This window comes from Homo sapiens, chromosome 7, assembly GCF_000001405.40.
Source record: "Homo sapiens chromosome 7, GRCh38.p14 Primary Assembly".
Classification (NCBI taxonomy): domain Eukaryota; kingdom Metazoa; phylum Chordata; class Mammalia; order Primates; family Hominidae; genus Homo; species Homo sapiens.
The window spans coordinates 136626182-136638474 of record NC_000007.14 but is presented as its reverse complement, the minus strand read 5'-3'; the positions used below and the strand labels follow the sequence as shown (position 1 = coordinate 136638474).

Genomic DNA, 12293 nt, shown 5'->3' with positions numbered 1-12293 from the left:
CATCACTTGTTTGTCTTTTTATTTTTTTGACATTTTTATATTCCTACGCAGGAGTGAGGTAGCCTCTCACCTACTCCTAGCTTTACTGAATATATTTGTTAAAGCATGAGAGCTATAGTGGCTACAACTGAGACATCCTCATATCATAGAAAGAGCACTGGCCCAGGAGCCAGAATATAGGGCTTCTAACTCTAGCTCTGCCTATAAGAAGCATATGAAATTGAATGATTTCCACAATGTTCCAGGTCCTCCATTTCTCTTCAGTAAGTGAGACACTGGAATTTGAGCATCTAAGGGCTCTTTATAGCTCTAATTTTCTGATACATCATTTTGCTTGAAATGCTGGTGAAGGAAATAGAAGGTGCCAGCTTTGCAAAGGGAGTTGAATGCTGGCACAGGAATTCAGGACTGCATGTGGGAATATGTGATTATAGTACAATCATGATTCATCAAAAGAATAAATTCCCTTGTTGGTTACACATACACACTCCCCACCCCTTCCCACTCACAACTTTTACTTCCTGGTTCAGGAATAGTCTAAAAGTAGGGGGAGAATGTGGGTGGTGGGAAGAGGGGAGAGAAGGGAGCTGGATGTGTTCTCTATTTGGAAGAGATTTTTCGGAAGCTCTTTCTCATGCTTATTTATACCACCTACGGTGCTTTGATTCTTCCTTGCTGAATGTTTGATTATCCTAACCAGACAGAAAGTAATAAGTCAAAATAGTTATTGTCACTTCTTTTCAAGCATAATAAGCTCAGTTAAAACATTTTTATACAAACACAAATGATAGCTTAATTCTCTGAATAAAACTAAAAGAAATCAAAATTAAGAGACTCAGGCCTGGCAAGGAGAGAGAGGAAAATTCCATAAGACAACTCAGAACACATTTTTATGCCAATGAGATTAAAATGACCAATATTAACCCTTTAAAGCAATTTTCCACTTTTTGTTCTCTGATATAGTGAGTTCACTCTCACAGTAATCAAATAGCTTAAGAACAGAACTTATAAATTGGTTTTATTAACAGAATACTTAGCTCAGGGACTCCCTAGGTGAGGGTAGTTCGTTCTGGCTATTGACATCACAGCAGGAAAACCACTGGACTTGAAGTTGTTGAATAACTGTGGGAAGCTTATGGCAATAAGACATTGAGATTTAGCTGAGCTTTCTGTGGACTTCAAAATTAAATGCACTTTCTGGTGAGAACAAGTCAGCATAGACTCATTTCTCCCTGCTCATTCTTGTTAAGTACAACTAAAAATTCTGGAAATAATGCAAGAGGCAATCAAAAGAGAACACTGAAAAAAATGGGAAGAGGAAGGCAAACCGATTAAAGACCCAAGGACTAAAGGAATGATATAGTATCAAAGCTTCATAGGACCTCCCACCCAAAGAAAGGTGACCCAGGCCCAGCATCTCTAGACACTCAAGCTGCTCAAGCTGGCAACAGAAGGTGGCTATTATGGAATGAATGTTTGTATTCTCCAAAATTCATATATTGGAGCCCTAACCTCCAGTGTGATGGTATTTGGAAGTAGGGCCTTTGAGAGGTTTAAATGAAGTCACAGGGCAGAACCCTCATGATGGAAATAGTTCTAAGAGGAGAAAGACAGATTGGACACTCTCTTCTCTCCCTCTCTGTCTCCCTCCCTCTCCCCTCTCCCCTCACCCCACCCCTCTTCATTCTTTTCTCTCTCTCTCTCCCTCCCACACCCTCCCTCTTCATTTTCATGCCCTGTGGAAAGGCCATTTGAAAACACACTGAGAGGGCAATCACATGTGAGCCAGGAAAACAGCCCTGAGCAGAACCTGACCGTGGTGCTGGCATCCTGACTTCAGACCTCCAGAATCTTGAGCTGGAAGAAAATAAATGTCGGTTGTTTAAACTACACAGTCTATTGTATTTTGTTATAGCAGCTGAAACTGACTAAAACATTGGCCCAGTAGGTCATTCTTCCTCTAGATAAAACAGGGGCTCTGCTGACAACAACAGGAAAGCCTAGTGGCCCAGCAAGAGGGAATTATCAGATGTTCCAATAATAAAAATTGGCTAGAGACACACTTTCCTTCTCTGCTGCCTCTAAGACTCCCTGCCCTCACTGAGAGACATCAGTGGCCCGTGGCACCAGTAGGAGATATCATTCATTTTGCTCTTCACCAAATATTTACTTAGCATTTGTTTTGTGCCAGACATTGTTCTAGGTGCTGTGATATGTCCACGAACAACAACAACAAAATATCTATCAATAGTTACACTTGATCTTATTATTCAATTGAGAATGTTTAAAAGGCAAGAGAATGGGAACAACATAAAGCTCATCATAGCTAAACACAAATATTCATACACAAATTAAAGTTTAGGTACTCATTTTGAATTTAGTATTTTTCCAAGAAACTGATAGAAACCTGAAGCTGAGATTACTCATGTAATTTTCTCTGTTCCTTCCACTTTTTCAATCAGGCTTTGCAGATTTTCTTCCTTCTGTCTCATACTGTTGCAAACCTGGCAAGAAGTGCTGAATTAGCATTTCTCATCAGAATTCTTGCTCTCTGTATCAACAGTTATTCACACTTTAGATTTTAAATGCGGCTTTCTACATGACTACTAAGAAGATTGTTTCTCCCCAACGTACCCTGTAGAATGCCAGCTGCCTGCTTTAATCAAAAAAAAAAAAAAGGCGTCTGTTCATGCAATGTGGCACTCTGCTCTATGGTCAGCATCCAAGGGCTATTTGTTTGATTATTCTCTAGGATCTGCCCAACACTGTGGCAATGACAATAGTTTAACAGCCCCTAACCTGCTGTAATAAAAAGTAATTTCCTAACTGAAACCAAGCTTAAAATATATTCCACATGGAACAAAATTATGAAATCTCTGTGTTATGTTGTTAAACAGCCCAGTGACTGTACTTTTTTGAGGATTAATTACTTAAATATGTAAGACTAACTAGATAATATATGCTCAGTCAAAATAAGACAACATTCTTCTTTTTTCATGTTTGCTTCAAGTATAAAATACTGTTAATTCAATTTACAGTAATGGGATGTTGTTTACCTATGTTTAAAACAATTTATTTTAAAAAAATTGTTTTATGTTTTAAATGAAGTGTCTTTTAGAATAGTTTTGGATTTACAAAATAGTTACAAATATAATATGAAGAAATCTTGCATATGCCTTATCTAATTCCCTTATTGTTAGTATCTTACCTTATTTTGTTATATTTGTCAAAACTAAGAAATTGATATTGGTGTGTTACTATTAACTGAATTCCAGCCTATTTATGTTTCATCAGTTTTACCATTAGTTAATATACCCTCTTTCTGTTCCAGGATCTAATCCAGGGTACCACATTATTTTTAGTTTTCATGTTTCTCCATTTTCCCATGGCCTGTGATATTTTTATCAGTCTTTACTTGTTTTTTATGATCTTGGCAGTCTTGAGGAGTATTGGTCAGGTATCTTACAGTATGTTCCCTAATCTGAGTGTATTTAATGGTTTTCTTATCAATAGATTAAGGTTATGGGTTTTGGGGTCCTCTTGAATATCTGGAAAGCCTTCCCAAGAAGGATGGGTACAAACAAGCCCAGACTGCAAAGACTACAATAAATACCTAACTTTTCAATGCCCAAATACAGACAAGCATCAAGACAATCCATGAAAACACGAACCCACCAAATAAAGGAAATAAAGAACCAGGAGCCAATCCAGGAGAAAAAGAGATATGTGACCTTTCAGACAGACAAGTCAAAGTATCTGTATTGAGGAAACTCAAAGAAATTCAGGACAACACAGAGAAGGAAATCAGAATTCTATCAGATAAATTTTACAAACAAATTGAAATAATTTGAAAGAATCAAGTAAATATTCTGGAACTGAAAAATGTAATTGGCATACTGAAGAATGCATCAGTGTCTTCAATAGCAGGATTGATCAAGCAGAATTAGAAAGCTTGAAGTCAGGCTATTTGAAAATACACAGTCAGAGGAGATTAAAGAATAAATAATAAAAAGCAATAAAGCATACCAACAGGATCTACAAAATGGCCTCAAAACAGCAAATCTAAGAGTTATTGCTCCTTAAAGAGGAGGTAGGGACAGAGACAGAGGAAGAAAATTTATTCAAAGGGATAATAACAGAGAACTTCCCAAAGCTAGAGAAAGATATCAATATCCAAATACAAGGTTGTAGAATGCCAAGCAGAATTGATCCAAAAAAGACTACACAAGGCATTTAATAATCAAACCCCCAAAGATTAAGGATTAAAAAATGATTCCAAAAACAGCAAGAAAATAAATAAAGAAAATAAAATGGAGCTCCAATATGTCTGGCAACAGACTTTTCAGTGGAAATCTTACAGGCCAGGAGGGAAGACACGACATAGGTAAAGTGCTTAAGGAAACAAAACAAAACAAAACAAAATACTCTAGAATATTATATCCAGTGAAAATATCCTTTAAACTTCAAGGAGAAATAAAAACTTTCCCAGAGAAACAAAAGCTGAAGGATTTCATCATCAACAGACTTGTCCTACAAGAAATGATAAAGGGAGTAATTTAATCAGAAGGAAAAGGGCCTTAAGGGGAAATAAACAATCACCTGAAGGTCCAAAACTCACTAGTCATAGTAAGCACACAGAAAAACACAGAATATTATAACACTGTAACTGTGGCATGTGAACTACTCTTGTCCTAAGTAGGAAAAAATAAACAATGTACTGATTGAATATAATAACTACAACAACTTTTCAAAACATGGACAGTACAATAAGATATAGATGCAACAAAAAGTTAAAAAGCGGTGAAACAAAGTTAAAGCTAGAATTTTTATTTGTTTTCTTTTTGCTTGTTTGTTTATGCGGAGTGTTAAGTTGTTATCAGCTTAAAATAATAGGTTATAAGATAGCATTTGCAAGCCTCATGGTAATTTCAAACCAAAAAATATACAATGGATAAATAAAAAATCAAAAACAAGAAACTAAATCATATCACCAGAGAAAATCACCTTCAATAAAAGAAGACAGGAAGGAAAGAAAGAAGGAAGAGAAGACCACAAAACAACCAGAAAACATATAGCAAAATGGCAGAAATAAGTTCTTACTTATTAATAATAACATTGAATGTGAACTCAAATTTATTGGATTAAACTCGCCAGTCAAAAGACATAGAGGGGCTAAATGTTTAAAAAAAGCAAGATGCATTAATCTGTTGTCTACAAGAAACATTTTTTTCCTCTAAAGACATAAATAGACTGAAAATAAAGGGTTGGAAAAAGATAATCCATGCCAAAAAAGAGTAGGAGTAGCTCAACTTCTATCAGACAAAATAGACTTCTAGACAAAAACTTACGAAAAGACAAAGAAAGTCACTATATAATAATAGAGGGGTCAATTCAACAAGGAGATATAACTATTTTAAATGTATATACACCCAGCATTGGAGCACTCAGATGTACAAAGCAAATATTATAAGAGTTAGAGAGGAGATTCCAATGCAATCATAGCTGAAGACTTCAACACCTCACTTTCAGCCTTGGACAGATCTTCCAGACAGAATATCAATAAAGAAGCATCGGACTTAATCTGAACGATAGACCAAATGGATCTAATAAGTATTTACAGAACATTTCATCCAATGGATGCAGAATACACATTATTTTCCTCAGCACAGAGATCATTCTCAAGGATAGACCATATGTTAGGTCACAAAAGAAGTTTTGAATCATTCAAAAAATTGAAATAATATCAAGCTTCTTTTCTGATACAATGGGACAAAACTACAAATCAATAACAAGAGGAATTTTAGAAACTATACAAATATATGGAAATTAAACAATATGCTCCTGAATGACCAGTAAGTCAATGAGGAAATGAAGAAGGAAATTGAAAAATTTCTGGAAATATAATGGAAACACAACATATCAAAACCTCTGGTATATAGCAAAAGCAGTACTAAGAAGGAAGCTTATAGCCATAAGTGCTACATCAGAAAAGAAGAAAAACTTCAAATACTCTAATGATGCATCTTAAAGAACTAGAAAAGCAGGAGCAAACCAAACCCAAAATTAGTAGGAAAATAATAATAAAGGTCAGGGCAGAAATAAATGAAAGTGAAGATAAAAAATACAAAAGATCAAGGAAGCAAAAAGTGTTGTTTTTTTTTTTTTAAAGGTTGAACAAATGGACAAACCTTTAGCCTGGCTAACTAAGAATAAAGGGGAAAAAATCCAATCAATAAAATCAAAGATAAAAAAGGAAACATTACAACTGATAACTGCAGAAATGCTTAGATAACTAAGGTCCTTAGTGGCTACTCTGAACAACTACATGACAACAAATTGAAAAATCTAGAAGAAAGGGACAATTCCTAGACACATACACCTATGAAAATGGAACCATGAAGAAATCAAACCTGAATAGACCATAAAAAGTAACAATATTAAACCCATAATAAAGAGTCTCTCAGTCAAGAAAAGCCTGGGACCTGATGGCTCTACTGTTGAATTCTATCAAACATTTAAAGAAGAATGAATACCAATGCTACTCAAACTTATTTCAAAAGGAGGAGGTAACACTTCCAAACTTATTCTACAAGGCCAGTAGTACCCTGTACCAAAACCAGATTAAGACAAATCACAAAACGAAAACTAGTGACCAATATCTCTGATGAATATTGATGCAAAAATCCTCAACAAAATACTAGTAAATCAAATTCAACAATACATTGAAAATATCATTTATCATGACCAAGTAGGATTTATCCTTGGGATGCAAGGAGGGTTCAACATAAGCAAATCAATCAATGTGATACATCATATCTACAGAATGAAGAACTAAAACCATATGATCATTTCAATTGATGGTAAAAAAGCATTTGATAAAATTCACCATTCTTTTGTAATTAAAACTCTCAAAAAACTGGGTGTAGAAAGAACACAAGGAAACTAATGTTTTCATGCTTGCTAATACAATATCCTTTCTGTAGCCCAAGCATTATCGAGTAATTTCAAGTTTCAAGTCTTTTGCAGCAACATGGGTTAAATTGGAGGCCATTATCTTAAGTGAAACAAGTCAGTCACAGAAAGACGAATACTGCATATTCTCACTTATAAGTGGGAGCTAAATATTGCATGGATGTAAAATAGTTGAAAATTGGAAGGTTTGCAGGGCTAGGGAGCTGATGATGAAAAATTCTTTAATAAGTACAATATACATTATTTGAGTAATGGATATCCCAAAAGCCCTGACTTCACCAAGATGCTATCTAGTCACATAACAAAATTACACTTGTAACCCATACACATATACAAATAAAATTTTTTAAATCAAGTGTTATTGTTTAAGAAAAACATTTCATAAGGCTATAGCTGCCATAGGTAGTGATCCCTATGATGGATCTGGGCAAAATAAATTGAGAACCTTCTGAGAAGAATTCAGTATTCCACATGCCATTAAGAACATTCATTATTCATGGGAAGAGGTCAAAATATCAACATTAACAGGAGTTTGGAAGAAGTTATTCCAACTCTCATGATGACTTTGAGAGTATCAGACTTCAGTGGAAAGAGTAACTGCAGATGTGGGGGAAACAGCAAGAGAACTAGAACTAGAAGTGAAGTTTGAAAATGTGACTAAATTGCTGCAATCTCATGGTCAAATATGAATGGATGAGGAGTTGCTTATGGATGATGAAGGAATATGGTTTCTTTAGATAGAAACCATTCCTAGTAAAGGTGTTGTGAACATTGTTGAAATGATTTTTAAAAGATATAAAATATTGGGGCCGGGCGCTGTGGCTCACGCCTGTAATCCCAGCACTTTGGGAGGCCGAGGCGGGCGGATCACGAGGTCAGGAGATCGAGACCATCCCGGCTAAAACGGTGAAACCCCGTCTCTACTAAAAATACAAAAAAAATTAGCCGGGCGTAGTGGCGGGCGCCTGTAGTCCCAGCTACTTGGGAGGCTGAGGCAGGAGAATGGCGTGAACCCGGGAGGCGGAGCTTGCAGTGATCCGAGATCCCGCCACTGCACTCCAGCCTGGGCGACAGAGCGAGATTCCGTCTCAAAAAAAAAAAAAGAAAAAAAAAAAGATATAAAATATTATAAAAATAGTTAATAAAGGCAGTAGCAGGTTTTAAGAGGACTGACTCCAAATTTGAAAAAAAGTTCTATTATGGGGAAAATGCTACCAAATAGCATTGCATTCTTCAGATAATTATTTTTTGAAAGGAAGAGTACATTGATGTGGTAATCTTCATTGTTATTTTTGAAAATGTTCACAGCTACCCCACCGTTTATGAGCCATCACCCTGATCCATCAGCAGCCATCAACATCAAGGCAAGACCCTCCACCAGAAAAAAAAGATAACAACTCACTGAAAGCTTACATGATGGTATTTTTTTTAATCAATAAAGTATTTTTAAATTAATGTATGTTAAATTAATGTATGTTCTTTCTGCAGAAAGAACACTTCTTCATCACCACTTGTTATTTCACTTTGTAATTTTATGTTATAAAGATAGCTTTTTACCTTAGCCTCATAAACCAACTTCTGTTAGTTAACTTTTCTCCCACTGCTTGCTCACGTTCATAGAATTGAAGAGAGTTAGTGTGTCTGGAATTGGTTCCTTCTGGTTGGTTCTTGGTCTCACTGACTTCAAGAATGAAGCCGCGGACCTTCGGGGTGAGTGTTACAGCTCTTAAAGATGGCATGTCCTGAGTTTGTTCCTTCAGATGTGTCCAGAGTTTCTTCCTTCCAGTGGGTTCATGGTCTTGCTGACTTCAAGAATGAAGCTGCGGACCTTTGCAGCGAGTGTTACAGCTCTTAAAGGTGGTGCAGACCCAAGAGTGAGCAGCAGCAAGATTTATTGTGAAGAGCAAAGCTTCCACAGTGTGGAAGGGGTCCCGAGTGGGTTGCTGCTGCTGGCTGGGGTGGCCAGCTTTTATTCCCTTATTTGTCCCTTCCCATGTCCTGCTGATTGGTCTATTTTACAGAGCGCTGATTGATCCATTTTACAGGGGGCTGATTGGTCCATTTCACAGAGTGCTGATTGGTGCGTTTACAATCCTTTAGCTAGACACAGAGTGCTGATTTGGTGCATTTTTACAGAGTGCTGATTGGTGTGTTTACAATCCTTTAGCTAGACCCAGAGCGCTGATGGTGCGTTTTTACAGAGTGCTATGCTTTTACAATCCTTTAGCTAGACACAGAGCACTGATTGGTGCATTTACAATCCTCTAGCTAGACAGAAAAGTTCTCCAAGTCCCCACTCGACCCAGGAAGTCCAGCTGGCTTCACCTCTCATTAGGACATTGCTCTGGATTACACTTTGTCTTAAGGGGATGGTGTGGTTGGTTTGATCATCTATTTAGACTATTAAAGCTTTCTCCATATGAGCAATAAACCTGTTTCATTTTCTCACCATTTGTGTGTTCACTGGAGTAGCACTTTTAATTTTCTCCAAGAACACTTCCTTTGGATTCACAACTTGGCTAACTTTTTGGTACTAGAACCTAACTTTTGGCTTATCTCAGCTTTTGTCATGCCCTCCTCGCTAAGCATGATCATATTACCTTTCGATCTAAAGTGGGAGATGTGTGGCTCTGTTTAGGGTTATTATTTGGCCTAATTTTAATATTTGTTGTGTCTCAGGGAATAGGGACATCTGAAGAGAGGGAGAGGGAGAGAGATGGTGGAACAGATTGTTAGTGGAGCAGACAGAATACACAAAACATTTATTGGTTAAGTTCACCCTCTTGCATGGGCACAGTTTGTGGTACCTCAGAACAATTTCAATAGTAATATCAAAAATCACTGACTAGAAAGCATAAGAGATATAATAATATTAATATTAATAAAAGTTTAAAATATTAAGATAATTACCAAAATGTGACATACAGACCTAAGTGAGCCAATGCTCTTGGAAGAATAGCATCAAAAGAATTTCTTAATGTGGGGTTTCCACAAACCTTCAATTTATAAAAAATGTAATATCTGCAAAGTGCAATAAAGCAAGGCACAATAAAACAAGTTTTAAAAATGTACTTGGAATATGTTTAACTAAGGAAATGAAAGATCTCTATACTGAAAACTATACAACATTGATGTAAGAAATTGAATAAGACAGAAATGAAAAGATATACAGTCTTCATGTATTTGAAGAAAAGATATTGTTAAAATGTTCATACTACCCAAAGTGATCTAGAGATTTAAGGCAATCCCTATCAAAATATCAATGACACAGAAATAGAAAACGGATTCCTAAAATTTATATGGAACCACAAAAGACCCTGAAAAGGGAAAGCAATCCTGAACACAAAGAACAAAGCTTAAGGCATTACACCAGCTGACTTCAAAATCTATTACAAAGCAAAAGTAATGAAAATAGCATGGTACCAGCATAAAAACAGACATATAGACCAATGAATAGAATAGAGTGCCCAGAAAAATATCCACTCATTTATGGCCAACTGATTTTTGACAAGGTGTTGAGAATTCATAATGGAAAAAGAGGTCTCTTTAGTAAGTGGTGCTGGGAAAACTGCAAAAAGAATCTTTCTCACTACATAAAAAATTAACTCAAAGTGGATTAAACACCTGAAACTATGAATCTACTAGAAGAAAATCTAGGGGAAATTTTCCATGGCATTGGTATGGCAGGGATTTTTGAAAGATAAGACCTCAAAAGCACAAGCAACAAAAGCAAAAATAAACAAATGAGATTACATCAAACTAAAAAGCTTCTGTACAGCGAAGAAACAAAATCAACAGAGTGAATAGACAACCTATAGATTGGAAGAGCACATGTGCAAAGTATGCACTGATAAAGAGTTAATATTCAAAATACATAGAGAAGTCAAACAACTCGAAAGGAAAAAAAGCAAATAACCTAATTTTAAAATGAACAGAAGACCTGAATAGATACTTCTCAAAAGAAGACATACAAAACGGCCAACAGGTATGTGAAAAAAAATGATCAACATCACTAATCACCAGGGAAATGCAAGTCAAAATCACAATAACTTATCACCTCACTACAGTTAGAATGGCTATTACCAAATAGACAAAAGATAACAGGTGCTGGCAAGGATGTGGAGAAAGGGGAATCCTTGCACTCTATTGGTGGGAATGTAAATTAGTCAGTCATTAAGAAAAACAGCACGGAGGCTCCTCAAACAATTAAAAACAGAACTACCATGTGTTTTAGCAATTCCACTACTGGGTATTTATTTACAGAAAATTAAACCAGTATGCAGAAAAGAGATCTGCATTCCCATGTTTATTCCAGCACTATTCACAATAGCTAGGGTTATGGAATCAACCTGTATACAAGAATAAATTAATGGATAAAGAAAATATGGTATGTATACACAACTGAATACTAGTAAGCCATAAAAATGAAAAAAGTCCTGTTATTTGTGACAACATGGATGAACCTGGAGGACATTTTGTTAAGTGAAAAAAGCCAGGCACAGAAAGACAAATACCACATGATCTCACTTACATGTGGAATCTAATAAAATTGATCTCATAGATATAGAGAATAGAACAGGAGTCAGCACTAACTGATTTACCAGTGGCTATGGAATATGTAAAATTATCCCAAATTTTACAAACAAGGAAAATTAAGGCATAGAGATATTAAAAGTCTAGCTCAAATTTACACAGTCAAATGCTGGAGCTTTGATTCAAATTTTGGCACTCTGGCATCATCCTGTCTGAGGCCTTTAATCATTAGTCTATACTGCTTAAACTGTTATGCAATACTGCATAATAACATTTTTCTGTTTATGTTCTATGAGTTTCTGTATATCTCCAATTACATATCAAGCATCTAGAAAGTGGGAATGATATTGTTGGTCAGCAAAATTTTCATATTTCCATAACTAAAAATAAACGGAAATGATGTTCAGGTATTTCCAGTTAATATGGCAGGCTGTGATGACATGACAGAGCCATTCTAATCTCTCTTCTACAAACACTTAGAAATTCTGGATAAAATGTATTCAAAATTACTACTCAGGTTGAAAACTTTGAAGGAGAAAGTTTCAATTACTTATAAAGGGGGAGAGAATGTATCAGAAGAGAGCGAGCTTAGGTCCAAACATTCAGGAAAGCATCAAAATCACACAAGCCTTAATAGCTAGGAATAAGGCTTCAAATGCCTTCTAGAAATAAGAACATTTGGTCCAGAAGCATAGCTGAACCTGATCAATCACCACAAATCCAGATTTCACAAAGAACTCTTTGTCCTATAATTGGAAATCAGATAGTTCTGTCTACCAGCTGAGGAA

The 12293-nt window shown here is 35.9% G+C and overlaps 1 annotated feature.

Moving 5' to 3' along the window:
• Positions 394-1377: an enhancer, noted in NCBI's record as "OCT4-NANOG hESC enhancer chr7:136321846-136322829 (GRCh37/hg19 assembly coordinates)". NCBI's record gives its function as "activates a minimal SCP1, AML or CMV promoter by ChIP-STARR-seq in primed H9 embryonic stem cells {active_cell/tissue: H9 hESC(primed)}" and the evidence as "EXISTENCE:reporter gene assay evidence [ECO:0000049][PMID:30033119]".